Source organism: Homo sapiens, chromosome 6 (assembly GCF_000001405.40).
Source record: "Homo sapiens chromosome 6, GRCh38.p14 Primary Assembly".
Taxonomy (NCBI): Eukaryota; Metazoa; Chordata; class Mammalia; order Primates; family Hominidae; genus Homo; species Homo sapiens.
Genome location: NC_000006.12, coordinates 127,478,274 through 127,496,738, shown reverse-complemented (window position 1 = coordinate 127,496,738; position 18,465 = coordinate 127,478,274). Strand labels below are relative to the sequence as shown.

Below are 18,465 nucleotides of genomic sequence, written 5' to 3'. Positions count from 1 at the left end.
ATTGCCAAATAATATTCCATTGGGCAAATATCATATTTTATCTATTCACTCACCAGTAGGTGGAATTTTGGGTTGTTTCCAACTTTTGGTTATTATGAACAATGCTGCTAGGAATATTACTGTGAAAGTCCTTGGTGGATATATGTTTTTATTTCTCTTGAGTATGTACCTAAGATTGGAATGGCTGGGTCATATGGCAAATTTACATTTAGCCTTTTAAGAAACAGGATTTCTAGTTTTCATTGGTCTGCATGTCAAATCCTTCTGTTTCACACATTGAAGGCCATACATTCGATAGCTTATATTTCTTGTTTGAATTTCACTGATGTTATTTTTAAAAAAAAATTTTCTCAGATTCTGGTTAATGCTTGACTACCATGTTAGTTTTTGATATTACTGTGTTTACGTTTTTGTCTTGGCCTTCAGATATATTTTAATCAGAAGTAAATGATAGCTTTATACTATATTAACTCAGAATTCTGTCAATTTGAGTAACAATATGAACAGGGTAAATTTTCTTTAAAAAATATTACTTTAGGAAATAAGTCTGGTTCATCTTTGATTACTTTCCTTAACTTCATTAATATGTGGAATATTTTATTCCTGTGGCAGTGGTATCTCATGCTCTTGTGTACATGCATTTATTTCCCCCAGCTAGTTTTTTGTATTTTAGTAGAGATGGGGTTTCACCATGTTGTCCAGGCTGGTCTCAAACTCCTGAGCTCAGGCAGTCCACCCGCCTCAGCCTCCCAAAATGGTAGGATTACAGGCGTGAGCCACCATGCCCAGCCGAGAGTGTATGTCTTAATATTCAATTTAACCCAGCGTTGCCATGCCATAATCTAGACCCAACTTTACCCGTTCTTCAAGTGTTTCAAGTGAAACTGGAAATTTGGATTTTTCAAATGTAAATGGTTTACATTTTTAAATTTGGTAACTAATTCCAAAAATTTTAAAGTGTAATTGTGGGCTATCACATTTAACCCAGTCCAGGAATTACCCTCAGAAAAGTGCTTCTATATCCTTTCAGTGCATTTTGGAAATTAATGAATACTCTGACCTTTAAATTTGTATTATGAAATATCTTAAATATGTAATTGTGTAAAGAATAATTTTAAAACACTCATGTAATGCCCACCCCTTAGTGTCCTGCCATCTTGTAATGGCACATTCAAGCATATTTCTTACAAGATTCTAATCCTGATAGAACAATGTTGCTAATTTCACTGCATTAATGAGTTCGAAGCTGGTTGAGATGCAGTGTAGAATAGACTGGACAGCTCATCCTTTCACCTTATAAATGTTGGCCACAGTTTTTTTTCTTTGCCTGAATTATAAACAAAGGCCTTAAGGAACTCTGGTCACCACCCAGACATAATTTTCTAAGTGTCTTTTAATTACTCAATGCAATGATGGTTAGAACCCAATCCATTAACAAGAGTAAATTAGAATACATCTCTGCATTTGTTGTTGTCATCCATAGTTTAATAAACATATCTTTACTGTGGATCTAAGATATAAAATAATTTTTTTTTTTTTTTTGAGATGGAGTCATGCTCTGTCGCCCAGGCTGGAGTGCAGGGGCTTGATCTTGGCTCACTGCAAGCTCCGCCTCCTAGGTTCATGACATTCTCCTGCCTCCGCCTTCCTAGTAGCTGGGACTATAGGTGTCCACCACCATGCCCGGCTACTTTTTTGTATTTTTAGTAGAGACGGGGTCTCACCATGTTAGCCAGGATGGTCTTGATCTCCTGACCTCGTGGTCTGCCCGACTCGGCCTCCCAAAGTGCTGGGATTACAGGTGTGAGCCACCAGGTTCTCAGATTTTTTAAAACTCTAAGCTGAGAAATATCCCAGTCTTAAATCCATTTGCTTGGGTGGAGTTCTCTGAGGCTTTTGCATGGTGCCAACCAAGTATAATACATGATATATTAAAGAAGCACTTACCATGTTGGCTTTGATTTTTTAAAGCAAGGTGGTCTTGCTTTGTGATCAGTTTATTATTGGCAGTTTGACAGACCCTCTAATAACCCATACCCTGCTCCAAAAGAAGGTTCTACAATGATGAAAGAGTTAATTGTATCATAAACTACTTCACTGGTAGCCTTGAGTCCCTTGATGAATCCCAGAGAAGCTTAGAAAATACAGAGGCCAATTCTTCCTAAGGATCCAGGAAATATTTTGATCATATGATATGAACTACATAATGCAAGGCAGCCCATATGGAGTTCTAACCTGACTTTTAAAGGGGATGTTTTCACAAGGATCTTGTAGGCCTCAACTGTTACAGTTTTTTGTCAGTGCTATTTCCTCCAGTTCTGTTGTAACCACATCCCATTAACAAGAGAAGCCTCTATTTTTTTTTCTTCTTTCTGATATCCTATGGTTTTTAAGCTCTCTTATATTTTCTAGAGTTAAGTTCAGCATCTTACTTTCTAAGTTTCTGATGTACCTAAATTTCACTGTACACTTAAATTGGTGCAAAAGTAATTGCAGTTTTGCCATTTTAAGTTTAATGCCACTAATAGTTACAAAGCATGGGTTCCAATTTAAAGACATTTAAGCTTTATTACCAAATAATACACTAGGAAAAGGGCAGATATGTTCTAAAGTAATTCCTGGCACCAAAGAATGGCTTAAAAAGACACTGTACAACTGAAGGGCCATGCAAACCTATTTGGCCCTGTGAAGATAATTCTGATTCCCACACCAAAAAAGACTTAAAAGTTTCCTCTTTTATTGGTAGCCTGGTTCAAGGGTATGCTCTACAAATTGACTCATTAATATTCCTTAACGATAAAGAATTCACATAACTCTGTCGTCAATCTGAGCTCTGCTGTAGGTATCTACTTTATCACATGGGAAAAGAATAGAGGAACTAGGAAAAGGAAAATTTATTGGATTCTTTAATTTAAAAAAATAAAACAAAATAATACCATGATCACAGCTATTTTAGTTTGGCATTGTATCAGTTTTTAGAGCAGAAAAATAGTTTTCTCAGCTTTTAAAATTTGCTTTTATTTAGGCATTCACTGGAGATAGGATGAAATAAGTTTGGCAGCCTCATAACTCAAAAGATAGGAACGGTACCTGGCCTTATGGGATGGAGAAAGGGTTTAGCTGTCTAGCAGAAGAGGGCTGGCTGATTTATTGGCAAATTCAGGTCTCTGCCTTCATGACATAAACATCTGTATGCCAGATATACCTCCTCACCTCTGACATGTGCCTCTATGACCATCTTTAGAAGGGAGTCAAAGTGAAAAATCCAGGACTTTTAAAATTTATTATTACCTTCTGGAAACAATTTCCAGATTTAAATTGCCAATCAACTTTCCTTCCCATATCTTCCAACATTATTTATTAGAATCAATGAATTAATAATGCTTCTTTTCTTCCCTTCTCTATTCTTTTCTAAAGTCTGGCTTTTTAAACTATCACTGTAAGTTTGGAAAATCGAATCCTTAAATTAAAATTGATAATTTTCTGGGTATAGTTCACTTTGTATTTGTGCTTCAACTCTGTAAATTTACATAAGTAGGAAATTTTGGAATATTTAAAGTTATTGTTCTTCTCTTGCCTAGGAAAACTATAGAAACAGAATGATAAACAAAGTTTGCTAAAACTAAGGGTGGGATGAACAAATATAAATCAGAGGCATAGATAAAGGCATTGTGAAGATGTATATATCACTTCTTCCTAAAAATGAAGAATAAAAGCTAAGTTCAAATAGAAGAAACACTTCATATATAATAAGCTTAAATGTTAGGATGAAATTTATTAGCTTTTAACTCCTATATACCTTTGGTGCTAATTGAACACCTGCTATTAGTAAGGGCAGCATCTGCAATTTAGAACTGGAAAAGTGAACTTTAAAAATAATTTATTTAAGCTCAGTTTCATTAAAAAATTTTTCTGGGGGCTGGGCCTGGTGACTCAGGCCTGTAATCCCAGCGCTTTGGGAGGCCGAGGCGAGTGGATCACGAGGTCATGAGATTGAGACCACCCTGGCTAACACGGTGAAACCCTGCCTCTGCTAAAAAAATACAAAAAATTAGCCGGGTGTGGTGGCGGGCGCCTGTAGTCCCAGTTACTAGGGAGGCTGAGGCAGGAGAACATCGTGAACCCAGGAGGCAGAGCTTGCAGTGAGCCGAGATCGGGCCACTGCACTCCAGCCTGGGCGACAGGGTGAGACTCCGTCTTAAAAATAAAAAATTTCTGGAATCAAAATAGTGGCAAAGGCAGGGGAGAAATAAAAACAAGGAAAATACATTAAGCTTTATTTTTCTTGTGTTTGATAACCTTCTCAACTCTTCCTCTTAGCCTTTTACATTCTTTTTTTTTCGCTTTTATGGAATTTGAATACAGGATATTGTTTATAAATCTGAACTAAATTTATTAGCCTAGTGTATTTTTTAATCCCGGGGTGAAGAATGTTTGGTAGATGTGTCAGTGGATTTTTGCTGTGTAGCAAACCATCCCAAAACTTTGTGGCTTAAAACAACATTTATGTGGCTCATAATTCTGTGGTCCATTCTGGTCTCAGGTAGGTCCATGCATGTATTTATGGTCAGATAACAGCTAGAAGGCTCTGCATTGAGGATTAACTGGCTGTTCACTAGGGCAATAGGAGCATCTGGGCCACATGACTTTTCATGGAGCAGGCCAGCCCAGACTTAAAACACAGGGTAGCAGATTTCCAAGAGAGAGTGAGCAGAATTGTACAATCTCTCAAGGGTAGACTCAGAACCAGCACGCCATTTCTGCCAACAGATTTTACAGGTCAAAGCAAGTCACAAGGCCAGTTCAGTTAGAAGAGGTACGGAAGTAGAGTCCATCTTTTTTTTTTTTTTTTTTTTTTTTGAGACAGGGTCTTGCTGGAGTCTAGGGTCACCTAGGTTGGAGTATAGTGGTGGGTTTATAGTTTACTGCAGCCTCGAACTCCTGGGCTCAAGCTATCCTCCTGGCTCAGCTTCCTAAGTAGCTAGGACTAGCTGCATGCCACCATGCCTGGCTAACTTTTAAAAAATTTTTGTAGAGATAAAGTCTCACCATATTGCCCAGGCTGGTCTACTCACATATTCCCATTTATAGGCCTACCTCAGAGATATTGCAGGTTCTGTTTTAGACCACAGCAGTAAAGCAAGTCACACTATTGTTTGGTTTCCCAGTACATGTAAAAGTTATGTTTATACTATACTGTAGTCTGTTAAGTGTGCAATAACATGGTATCTAAAAAAAGTATATACCTTAATTTTAAAATACTTTATTGCTAAAACATCCTAAGGATCATCTTAGCCTTCAACAAGTCATCATCTAGTTGGATGGCGGGTCTTCCCTGGATGTTGATGGCTGCTGACTGATCAGGGTGGTGGTTGCCAAAAGTTGGAGTGGCTATGACAATTCCCTAAAATAAGGCAACAATGTGATTTGCCACGTCAGTTGGCTCTTCCTTTTATGAAAGACTGCCCTGTAGCAGGCAATGCTGTTTGACAGCATTTTACCCACAGTAGAATCTCTTAAAATATTGGAATAAATTCTTGCAAAACTTGCCACTGTTTTATGAAGGAAGTTTATGGAATATTCTAAACTTTTTGTTGTCATTTCAGCAAAGTTCATATCATCTTCACAAGGAATACAGTTCATTTCAAGAAATCACTTCCTTTGCTCATCTATAAGAAACAACTCCTCATCCATTAAAGTTGTATCAGGAGCTTTCAGCAAGTCAATCACAATCAGGCTATACTTCTAGTTCTCTTGCTATTGTCACCACATTTATTTCCTCAACTGATGTCTTGAACCCCTCAACTCATCCCTGAGGGTTGGAATCAACTTCTTCCAAACTCCTGTTAATGTTTTGACCGTCTCCAATCAATCATGAATATTCTTTTTTGTGTGTGTTTTTGTTTGTTTGTTTGTTTGTTTGAGATGGAGTCTTGCTCTGTCCCCCAGGCTGGAGTGTAATGGTGCGATCTCAGCTCACTGCAACCTCTGCATCCCGGGTTCTAGCAATTCTTCTGCCTTAGCCTCCCGAGTAGCTGGGACTACAGGCACGCATCACTACACTAGGCTAATTTTTGTATTTTTAGTAGAGACGGAGTTTCACCGTGTTGGCCAGGATTGTCTCAATCTCTTGACCTCATGATCCACCTGCCTAAGGCTCCCAAAGTGCTTGGATTACAGGCGTGAGCCACTGCGCCTGGCCCAATCATGAATATTCTTAATGGCATCTAGAATGCCATTTCTTTCCAGAAGATTTTCAATTTACTTTGTCCAGATTCATCATAAGAATCACTACCTGGCAGCTATAGCCTTATAAAGTACATTTTTAAAATAATAAGACTTGAAAGTTAAAGTTACTCCATGATCTATGGGCTGCAGAATGGATTTTGTGTTAGCAGGCATGAAAAGAACATTAGTCTCCTTGCACATCTCCATCAGAGCTCCTGTTTGACCAAGTGCATTATCAACGAGCAGTAATCTTTTGAAAGGGATCCTTTCTTCTGAGCAGTAGGTCTCAAAAGTGGGCTTAAAATATTTGGTAAACTGTGCTGTAAATTGAGATGCTGTCATAAAGGCTTTGTCCTTTCATTTATAGAACAGAGGCAGAATAGGTTTAGCATAATTCTTAATGACCCTAGGATTTTCAGAATGGTAAATGAGCATTGGTTTCAACTTAAAATTATCAGCTATTTTGGCACCCAACAAGAAAGCCTGTCTTTGAAGCTTTGAAGCTAGGCATTGACTTCTCCTTTTTAGCTATGAAAGTTCTAGATGGCATCTTCTTCCAATAGAAGGCTGTTTTATCTACATTGAAAGTCTATTATTTAGTGTAGCCACCTTCACCAATCATCTTACCTAGATCTTCCCAATAGCATGCTGCAGCTTCTACATCAGCACTTGCTGCTGAACCTTGCCCTTTTGTGCTATGGAGATGGCTTCTTTCCTTAAACCTCATGTACCAATGCCCACTAGCTTCTAACATTTCTTCTGCAGCTTCCTCACCTCTCTTCCTTCACTTTCATAGAATTGAAGAGTAAGGGCCTTGCCCTGGGTTAAGCTTTGGCTTAAGGGGATGTTGTGGGTTGTTTGATCTTTTATCCAGACCACTAAAACTTTTTGCATATCAGCAATAAGGCTGTTTTGCTTTCTTATTATTTGTGTGTTCACTAGAGTGGCACTTTTAATTTATTTCTAGAACTTTTACTTTGCATTCACAACTTGGCTAAGAGGCCTAGGTGTTTGTCACAAGAGGCCTAGCTTTTGGTTTATCTTGGCTTTGGACATGCCTACGTCACCAAGCTTAATTATTTCTAGCTTTTGATTTAAAGTGAGAGACATATGACTCTTCTTTTCACTTGAAAACTTAGAGGCCATTGTAGGGTTATTAATTGGCCTATTTCAATACTGTTGTGTCTCAGGGAATAGGCCTGAGAGGGAGAGAGATGGGAGAACAGCCAGTTGGTGGAGCAGATAGAACACACACCACATTTAAGTTAGCCAATTTATATCAGTGAAGTTAATCGTGCCCCAAAACAATTGAAAGAGTAACATCAAAGATCATTCATCCCAGATTATCATAATGGATATAATAATAATGAGAAAGTCTGAGATAATGGGAGAATTACCAAAATGTAACACAGAGACACAAAATGAGCACATGCTTTTAGAAAAATTGCACGAATAGACCTGCTCAATGCAGAGTTTCCACAAATCTTAAATTTGTAAAAATTGTGGTATCTGTGAAGTACAATACAGTGAAGCTCAATAAATCAAGGTATGCCTGTGCTTTATATCAACTCTAGATTACTTATGATACATAATACAATGTAAATGTTATGTGAATAGTGGTTTTTACTGTATCATTTTTAAGTTTGCATTATTTTTTATTGTTGTACTTAAAAAAAATTCAATCTGTGGTTGGTTGAATCCACAGATGTGAAACCTGTAGATACAGAGGGCCAGCTATATGTGATATGTCCTGTTTTAAATACTTTTCAGCTCATACAATTTTGACTCTTTAGTCTTTTTGTTGAAAAGCCTAAGACATTTTTATTTTTCCAGCTTCTTTCCATTTTATATTCCAGCTTTTTAAAGGTCTACTTTTAAAGTAGACCTTTTCAAATGGGCTTTTGTTTACCTGTTATCATTTATTGACTTTTAGTAACGCTTCCAAAACAAATCTAGGTAAGAAATAAAGCTACAGTGGCTGTTTCCTCATTGAACTGACATAGACTAAACAACTACTTTGTGTCAGGTATATTTCTAAGAGCAGGAGCTATAACAGAGACCAATTCTAGGAGCCTGCTCTTGTGGAGCTCACATTGCAGAATGAGAAAACAGACATTGAAACAAACAAATATACAAGTCAGTTGGTGAGATTAGAGGAGCTATGGGGAAAAATTAAAAAGCAGAATTAGGAAGACAAGGAATATGCAAAGGAAGAGAATGGCCGAAGGATTTGCTTTTTGATATGAAATGGCCTGGGAAGGTCTCTCTTATTAGGAACCCTGAAGAGACTATGGAAGTGGGTCATGAGAGTATATGATGGAAGAATGTTGCAGGCAGAGGAAGCCATAATCCAAAGGCCCCAAACAAGGGCATACTTGGTATGTTTGAGGAACTGCAAGGATGCCTGTGACACTAGAGCAAAGAAAGCAGTGAGGAGTGTGGTGGGAGATGAGGTTGAAGGGCTTGTTTGGGATGTGGGATTGGGGGGTGGGGTGACCACATAGAGTGGGCTGGTAGTTGACAGAACCAGCTACACATTCTAGTCACTCTGGGAGCTTTGAAAAAATGTCTGGGCCCAATCCCAAAATCTGTTTTAATTGGTCTGGGTTGAAATCTGGTCAAGTCTTTATAAAACATTACCAGAATAAATCCAGTGTGTAGTCAGGGTCTGGTATACCTTAGTAAAGCATGACTCTAACTCAGTGAGATGGGAAGCCACTGAAAGATTTTGCACAGGATGATACAGCTTGATCACCCTGGCATGTGCCTCTTCTTCACCCACATTCCCCTCTGGACCTTAAGATCATGCCTTAGTATGAAGCTTGGGATCCTGCCTCACCCTTTTAGGGAAGAGAGTGAATGTGGTCCTAAGTAAGCTCTCTGGGCACTTCACCTGTTCTGCCTCTGCCAGTCTGTCTGGGTAAGTGTCAAGGATGTAATAGAAGGAAAAGAGGAAGACTTCTAGGAACAAGAGCCCATTCTGTCCCCTTCCAAGACAAGTTGGAGACAGAGCTTCTACCTTTTTCAGTTTCCTTCCAGCAGGCAATCCCTGGGCCTCCCTCCCAGTGTTACCCTATAGTCACAGTATTTACAGATTGATTTAAGAACCAGTAAGTGGTGTATGTCACTTCTGCTGATCCCTGTGTTGAAAATATTAAAACTTCTGCACATGTGTCATATATGTAACCTAGTACCCCAAACCTTGCTGTCACGCTCTGTTACCATAAAGGATATGCTCAGAAATAATATAAGCCTGCTATCTAAATTGCACCTTTTTCTGTCGAAGTAACAGTATAATGTAGTTGTTCAGAGTGGGAACTCTGAAACTGGCTAATTTGCATCCTGGTTCTAACACTAGCTAGCTGAGCGATAAATCCATTGTGTGCTTCAGACAATGGTGTCAATAAGTCTGTTGTCAGTCTGAATGAGTAGATACATATAAAGTGCTTAGAAAAGTGCATGACACATATTTAGGGCTCAAAAGATCTAAATATTAATGTCTCTATAGTTTCCTTCTTGATTTAATTACCACACAAATGAATCTCTCTTTAATTTTATCAACAGCATAGGAGACTTCTATATGCATAATATGTCTTTTGGTAGCATGTTAGGCACATTCTTCTCTGTGGTTTAATTGCTGAAAACATAAAGATGCTACATACTAAGTGGAGTAAATTTTAATTGAGAAAAGGAAGATAATCTCAAAACATTTTTAGAAAACAAACAACCCATTTTATATCATTGCTGTGAAAAAATAATTACTGGCAAAACTCTCTAATTCCTGGCCTTCTCATGATCAAAAAAAACAGCAGCCTCTTTTGGACAAGCTGAGGCTGGGAATGTAAAGAATTAAGAAGTGGACAATAAATGTTTTCAACGTATTTATCTAGAGAACCATCTAGAGAAGTGCCTGCTTTGCCAGCAAATATGAAAATCTGAGATTTCATTGTGGCCTCCCCAACTGCTCCCCTAGCAGAGGTTACAAGATTTAGTGGATGATGGTGGGGGAGGATGACAAGGGGGGAGGTTACACAGTTTCATCCTCACAGGAAAGGGACTACTTGGACTCACATTATTTCTCTAACTTTCTGTATCCATAGAAATGTCTCATCTTTGTTTCATAGGATTCAGAAAGTTAACATAAACTTACTGGAATATGAAAATATGAAATATTTATTGAAAATGCAAATGTGATACTTACACATAGTAGCAGCCCTAAAGGCACCTGAAAGCTAATGTATCTTTATTCAAGGGGAAGGCTTTACTTCAGAGCTTTATTTGAGCTTAACACTCCACCTGAGTGATATTTAAATAAAAGCAAAATAGAAAATGCCTCTTAGGAAAGAATGCCCTAATTTCAGCATTGCTCTTATATTAATTTAGAGGTCTCATTTTAACATTGCCCACAGGATAAAGTCTAAATTTCTCAGCTGCACAAGCTGACCTCAATCTTTTCTGCATCTTCTTTTACCCCATCTCTACAGTGGCCCTACCTCCATCACTTCTTTTCAGGAGTTAGTGCATCTGAAAGGCAAACTCATTCCTCTATATCTTTACTCCTACAACAGTTTGTTCAGTTTTATTTCTGTTGAAATTTTGCATATCCTTCAAAAGTCAGTTCTCTTGAATGATTTTCTCTGATTCCCCAGATCTGGAATTAGAGCTTCTTCCTTTGCCCTCTCAGTCCCTTTTTGTTCATTTATTGCCCTGAGTTAGTTCTGCCCACTGTTTTTGCTAATTGCATCCTTTTTATCATTATAAACAGTTAGCTCTTTGGGGAAAGAGTACAATATTTCTTAGTCACATGTGTTTGGCATATATACAGTACCACATATAGACCAGAAACTAAATACCTATGAAATGAATGAAACACAAAGACCAAAAAACATTTCCAGAACTAGAACATACTTTCCCTTGAAACCCCTGCATGTAACATCTTTATCTCACAGCGATTTGTACTGCCACCCTTGTGTCTTTGTATATCTCTATGACAGTCTAATTATGACATTTCTTGCTCAATAGGAGCATTTAGTGCTCCAAGTTGACCCTAGGACAATAATTTGACCTGAATAAGATAAAATTCAATCTTTATTCAATGTCCTTCAAGATCTGACTTATGCCACCAGCAAATCTCATGTCACTCCTCTCCTCTCACTCTGTAACACCCATATGGAATTTCTGTCCCAGAAATGGTTTTTCTATGTGGAATGCCTTTTTTTTTCCCTTTTCCTCCTCTTCATCTTCCATTGGCTAACTACTCATGCACCAGATTCTAGATAAGATGCTACTCATTTTGGAAATTATCCCTAGCTCCCCACACCATCTCTAGCCCTAGATTAGATAAAGTCTTTCTCCTTAGTGATCTAATAGCTAACAGTTAGATATGAGAAAGACTTGGGTCAAGGTCTGAAGTTATTGTTACCAACTAGTAACTTTAGACATTTGCAAACTTTAGCTTATTAAATCATAGATCACTGGGCCTCATCCTCAGAGTTTCTGAATCAGTGGTTCTGGGATGAATCTCAAGAATTTGCTTTTCCAACAGCTTTCTGGGTGACACTGATGATGCTGTTCTGAGGAGCACAGAGATAACTGATGCTTTTGATAATTTATTCATCTACTTCTGTTACCCCTGTAAACTTTAGTTTCAGCACCTGCAAAGTGAGGCTAAAAGGAGTGTTTAAAAATTAGCTGAGATAATGTATGTGAAGGGGTTGACATGAATTAGGGCTCAATGACAGTTAATATTGTTCTTGTATTATCATTGCTTTCATAACACTGTGTTGAATTCCAGACTGAACAGATCATGCCAAGTAAGCTGAGAACCCCCAAAAGAGCAAAGATCACATTGGTTTCATTATTATTGTGTCACAGGTATGTTATGAAGTGCATTGGTAGTCACTAAATAAACACATAATTGAGTGAATTCAAATACAAGCATTCAATAAGTATTTAGTGAAACAAATTCAACGCTTCTTGTAGGCAGCCCCTACCTAGAATGTTCCAGGTTTCTTAGTTTAGCTCACTTTATTCTTGGTATTCTTGGGACTGTTTTGTTGATTACTTCCTAAATTACTTTTTGGTTATGGTGAGTCAGTCCCCAAGCTTTCCTTTCTAAGAAGATTATACAAGCAACAGAAAGAACTTCTTCCTGTAAAGAACTAGAAATGAATAACCACGTGGGCTATTCATTTGTCTGTGTAGTTTCAGTTTCATACTGAATGAAAGCAGTTGCACCAAAGTATTCCCCTGCCTTCTGTGCTTGAACGTATGCCTTTACTTAACAGTGGATATGGGTTAGAAATTAACATGTGAAGAATTTAATTTTCATTTCTTTGCGAATTTATGAAGACTCCTGTTTGGAAAAGGCTTCCCTATTTTTACTGTCAGTCTATACCCCTGTCCTTCTCTTTGACCTCAGAACCTCGATTTGGTATTCATATATCATTAGTTCAGCAAGTATTTTTTTCACCACCTGCCATGTGGCAAGCACTATTTTTATGGTGGTGATGCCACACTAAATCAAAACCCCTGCTTCACAGAACCTAAAGCATAGCATTTATCAATTTGCACTGTAATTGTTTGCTTCTCTGTCTCCTCCCCTGCTAAGTTTCAGCTTCCTGATGGTAGATGCAGTATCTAATCAAACTTTGAGTCTCCCCCTCAATGTGTAGTATATGGTAGACAGTCATACATACGGATAATTATTGTTTACATACAGAGACCCTTCTTCTTATATTGGTGTGAGAAATGGAACTGAGCACCAGAGATCATATTACGCTTGTCCTTGAAACAGTTTGGCACTAGCTGTGTATTCTTTGACTTCCAAAGTGTTAGTTTGAATTTTAATTAGGATCAGCCAGTAAAATGTGGGAGATTTTACATAAGAATCCAGATTCCCAGCTTCTCTTGTAAAAGCCCACATTCCTGTATCACACAATGAGCTGAAGCTGTGGCTGGTCCACCTGTTTCTTGAGATGGGGCATGCCTTCTCCATTTCACTACAACCCCTACCATGCCCTATCATTTTGCACGTGTCGAGGAGGAGCAAGGGGGTGATGTGTGGTGAGGGGAGAATGAAGTGCTTCCGATTCTACATAAATTCACTGAAAGTGTGTGTTCATAAGCTTATAGCAACCTAACTCCCAACATTGGAAATAATAACTTACTTTTTTTCCTTCAGTGATGTGGAATGCTAACAAGCATTTGTTTACATTTGAACTATATATCATATTGAGTCAACAATCAATTTTGTCTGTTGTTTTTCTGCATTTTCACAGTAGGTTTCCTGTATTTCTCAAATTAAATAATTGCCAGCTACATTCTACTGTGATGTGTATCCTAGTCCAAAGTAAAAATATATCTAAATCTATCTGGTTTAGGATTTTTTTTCCTCCTTTTATGATTATTGAACTAACTCTTTTTATTTGTCTTGGTTTTGTCGTTTGAGACTAGAATACTTAAAAACATAAAATTGAATTAAAATTATAGTTTATCCAACTAAATATATTCATGCTTTGTTTCAGTTATCCTTAAAAAGAAGAGGAAGCAAAGATTTGCCAAAATCTGAAAAAAAGGCTCAACAGACTCCCACAGAGGTATGTGGAAATAAAATTTCAACTAGTACACCAAGTACCTCTAAGTGTATATAATCACAAACTACATTTATAAATAGATATAATGGCCAGATAAACTTATGCAAAACAAAGTCAAATTTGCATATCAATTATGTAGCTGTAGATACAGGTAGTATAAATCAGAATATTTACTTATAAAGCCAACCATAACATCCCTATTATAATTGCTTTACATTGTAAGCACACAGAAAAATGTCATTCGTATTTTATACGCTGCTATATTTGAGAACTATACTCATGATGCTAATCTTGTCCTTTTATAATTAATAAGGTCAATAGAAAGGCTGTTCCTATAGTGTCAGGAGAAAGTAAAGAAAGGAATGTTGCAGAGGGAAGTCAGAAAGGAGAGAAAGGCTCATTATATCTTTAGAGAGCCCTGGAATGAAGTAATTCTCCATACCAGTGATTGGAGAAGCAAAAGAAAGGAGACAAAAGAATAAAAATGAAAGTTGAAAGATGTACTCAACATGGGTTTGTTAAAAACCTTAGAAGCACAGCCACAGTAAAGACTAGCTTTGCTTTCAAGGTAAAAAGAGGTGCCAATGGTTGTAATGAAGAAGATTTTAAAATGGAAGAGGAAACATTTGGGATAAAAATGACACTATTGTTAAGGAAGGGGATCCCAATCCAGACCCCAAGAGAGGGTTCTCGGATCTCGTGCAAGAAAAAATTCAGGGCGAGCCCATAGAGTAAAGTGAAAGCAAGTTTATTAGGAAAGTAAAGGAATAAAAGAATGGCTACTCCATAAGCAGAGCAGCCCTGAGGGCTGCTGGTTACCCATTTTATGGTTATTTCTTGATATGCTAAACAAGGGGTGGATTATTCATGCCTCCCCTTTTTAGACCATATAGAGTAACTTCCTGATGTTGTCATGGCATTTGTAAACTGTCATGGCACTGGTGGGATTGTAGCAGTGAAGACGACCAGAGGTCATTCCCGGTTTTGGTGAGTTTTAGCTGGCTTTTTTACTGGAATGCGTTTCATCAGCAAGGTCTTTATGACCTGTATCTTGTGCCAACCTCTTATCTCATCCTGTGACTCAGAATCCTTAACCATCTGGGAATGCAGCCCAGTGGGTTTCAGCCTCATTTTACCCAGCTCCTATTCAAGATGTAGTTGTTCTGGGTCACACGCCTCTGACATTATAACTCTCCAAAAGCACTTGGCTAGATATTAACCTTTAAACTATGTCAGTTGGAATCTATGGTACTGTAGTATACTTTTGTGATTACAAGGTTTTTTTCACATTAGATAGATAATTTAACTAAAGTGATTTTAAATATTCAAAATTTGAAAAAGTTGATCTCAGACATTTTTTAAAGCATAACATATTAACTATATATTATTTTCCTTTTTCCTCTCTGTACCTGCTCTGTTCCTGCTCTGTTTTCTCCTGGTACTTGCACCAGAACATGTATGGACCTCAGCATTTTTAGAATCCCAGAGAGTCTCACAGCCAAGACCATGATATCATTTTTTGTACCTTTCTCTCTGTTCCCTTAGTAAGTCCAAATATACTCTGTCACTACAGCTTTTCCACTCTGTCTTTGCTGTCACTTTATCCAACTCACTCTAAATATTTTGTTGTGAATCATTTCACGTGTTGCCATGAATCTTCTTTCCTACCTTGTTTATGGAGTAGACGCTGTATCTACATTTGTCCTATTCTTACACTTCCTGTGTTAAAAGTTTATTTATTCTTTTCAACCATAGTCTCTGATGCAGGAATTCTTAACTGTTTAGTCTTGGCTTTATGGACCTCCACTCACTATGCATGTGGGCAACTTTCTGCAAAAACATCCACAACTTTAATCAGTTTCTCAGTGAGGTCAGGGACCTTAAAAAAGTCAAGATGCTATGCAATCTACCAGCTTTTATTTCATGGACAAAAACTTCCTTTTTTATAAGTATACTGTAGCATTTGAAGTTTCTGCTATCATTTCCAACACATTTATTTTCAGAGGTTATGACCTGTCACTTTTAAAAAACCCACCTCAGGAGACTGATCAGGCTATCTCTGATGGGATATCTCAATTATAAAATGGTCAATTTTTACAAAATTATAACACGATTCCAATGCTCAGTCAAGGTTGCAAACCATCGATCCACATATTTGTATTACTGAAAATATACCATTCTATTGTAATTCTTGTTTATGCATTCATCTCTCCTACTTAGCCAGGGCATTTTTGTGGACAGGAGCCATCTTATTCAGCTTTGAATCATCTGTGTCTAGTGATTGGCACTCTGCACATGTTCAATACATGCTTTTAAATACTCCCATGTCTCCTTTTTCTATGCGAAATCACACAAAATTGCCAACATGCTATTGAATTTGATCTACAGAAGTGGCAATTTCATATGGTCCAACTCTCTATTATTCATTTAGCTTTGTATTTCATTTTGTTAATTTGCTTCAGCTTCTTTGATCTCTTTCTCACATGTTCCTCCAGCAGCACAGTGACTTTATTTACAGAGAAATGATACTGCACAGCAATTAAGAACTGTAGCTCTAGGGCCAGGCTGCCTAGGTTGAAATCTCTGGCATATACCAGCTGTATGAACTTGGGCCCATTACTTATTCTTTTTAGTGCCTCTATTTCTTCATATATAAAATGGGAATCATAATAGAGAGTTGTTGTACAAACTAAATGAGTTAATATATGTAATCGATTAGAATGCAATTTAGTTTCTAGTAGTGGCTCTTAAAGTGAAAGCCAGGAGTAGCTCATTTCTTACTGGCCTTCATCATCATCATATCTTTATGTTCCCCTCTTCACATGTAATTTGTATCTTCAATTGAGTGAGTCTTTAACATACACAAAAATAAGAAATAACTTGCTTCACACCTCAGAGCATTTTAATTTTTCTTGCCTACCTTTCACTGTGGAAAATAGGAGAAAGTATTTACTGCTCAATTACTGTGGACCAGGCACTTTGCATACAATCTCCTTTTTTTATCAATAATTATGTATGATATTTCTATGCCAAGTTTCCAATGCAGCCTACAATAGTTGGGTTACAAGATCAGGATGCAAGGCATATTGGCATACAGGGTGGTAAACTCTTGGCATTGCAGAAACTAGCACATTTTGTATCTTGAAAATATTTATTTTTAAATAAATAAAATAATTACCATGACCATTAGCCCTTGATGCAGCTCTTTCCCTCCTAATGACTCTATTATATTCAGTCTATGTCCAAGTGTTAAAATAATTGTTGTTTTCATTCCTTTGGGCAGGAGCGCTTACATACACACAAATCAGATATTCTCTTTTTTATTTGCTTAATATAACCCAGTGAAGTGTTATTCTGCTTCAGTGTGTGCCTTGTATCACACCCACTGCTGTTTTGGTTAGATTCAATTTGCAGTATATGCCAACTATACTAGCAAATAAAGGCCTTGCCTTGCAATCAAGGACTTCCACCACATATGCAACCCTACCTGGCTTCCCAGTCTCATCTACTCTTGCATGTCAAATAAAACCTAGCCTATGTAAAAGCATATTTGACATTTATTTGTGCTGATAAAATGCGTTCCAGTAAAAAAGCCAGCTAAAACTCACCAAAACCAAGATGGCAACGAGAGTGACCTCTGGTCGTCTTCACTGCTACAATCCCACCAGTGCCATGACAGCTTACAAATGCCATGACAACATCAGGAAGTTACCCTACATGGTCTAAAATGGGGAGGCATGAATAATCCACCCCTTGTTTAGCATATCATTTTTGGTCATGTTTCTGTTCAAACATTGTTTCTAATTATTGGCCTACATGACCTTAGATTTCCCCTCCCAAACCTTTGACTATTTCTTACCTGTCTCCCCCTTTCTCTTTTTTTTTTTTTTTTTTTTTTTTAGATGGAGTCTCTCTCTGTCACCCAGGCTGGAGTGCAGTGGCGCAATCTCGGCTTACTGCAACCTCTGCCTCCGGGGTTCAAGCAATTCTCCTCCCTCAGCCTCCCGAGCAGCTGGGACTACAGGCGCATGCCACCATGCCCAGCTAATTTTTGTATTTTTAATAGAGATGGGGTTTCACCCTATTAGCCAGGCTGGTTTCGAGCTCCTGACCTTGTGATCCACCCACCTCAGCCTCCCAAAGTGCTAGGATTACAGGCATGAGTGACCGCGCCTGGCCATATGTCTCCCTTTCTTTTCTTCTCCTCATTGGTTGTGTCTGTGACCATTATGATAGGTTCAACCATCACCTCTACACATCTCATCCACACGTCCTCACTTCTAGACCTGAGCTCTAAGTGCCAAGCTGTAATCTTAGTAATCTAATCATGAGCCTGAGATTCTACATGACTGTTGATGGATGTTTCCACCCTGTATCCCTCCACTGGAACACCTCACAGACAGCATTCTTAAAACCTTAAACCCACATTCTTCACCCAAAACCATTTCCATTTCTCCTTTTGTACTTTTCAATTTAGTTAATGACTGGGCTTTGAGGTTGTCATGAGAATGTCGTGAGAATGTTTGAGAAGAACTTCTGTAAGTTTCATTCCACTGTCCTTTCAGCAGGCAGAACCAACTTTATCCATTTTAGATTGATGGGAGTACATCCTATTTTGAAAGCGATCTAAATGGAATGCTCC

The 18,465-nt window shown here is 37.9% G+C and overlaps 1 protein-coding gene and 1 long non-coding RNA gene across 2 annotated transcripts in view, besides 2 other annotated features; both read left to right on the top strand.

The window, feature by feature from the left end:
- Positions 1 to 18,465, top strand: part of SOGA3-KIAA0408 (SOGA3-KIAA0408 readthrough) — an 80,930-nt gene that overhangs the window by 22,597 nt on the left and 39,868 nt on the right. Inside the window, exon 5 of the long non-coding RNA NR_174482.1 lies at positions 13,755 to 13,826. This is a non-coding gene — a long non-coding RNA (SOGA3-KIAA0408 readthrough). The remainder of the gene's footprint in view (positions 1 to 13,754; positions 13,827 to 18,465) is intronic.
- Positions 1 to 18,465, top strand: part of MTCL3 (MTCL family member 3) — a 46,362-nt gene that overhangs the window by 22,597 nt on the left and 5,300 nt on the right. Inside the window, exon 5 of the mRNA NM_001400265.1 lies at positions 13,755 to 13,826. Coding sequence (NP_001387194.1) covers positions 13,755 to 13,826 — 72 coding nt within the window. The remainder of the gene's footprint in view (positions 1 to 13,754; positions 13,827 to 18,465) is intronic.
- Positions 12,306 to 12,435: an enhancer, noted in NCBI's record as "active region_25041". NCBI's record gives its function as "activates an Ori minimal core promoter by ATAC-STARR-seq in GM12878 lymphoblastoid cells {active_cell/tissue: GM12878}" and the evidence as "EXISTENCE:reporter gene assay evidence [ECO:0000049][PMID:35858748]".
- Positions 14,348 to 15,547: an enhancer, noted in NCBI's record as "BRD4-independent group 4 enhancer chr6:127802337-127803536 (GRCh37/hg19 assembly coordinates)". NCBI's record gives its function as "activates an origin of replication core promoter dependent on BRD2, P300/CBP, MED14 and CDK7 cofactors, and independent of BRD4, by STARR-seq in HCT116 cells {active_cell/tissue: HCT116}" and the evidence as "EXISTENCE:reporter gene assay evidence [ECO:0000049][PMID:35650434]".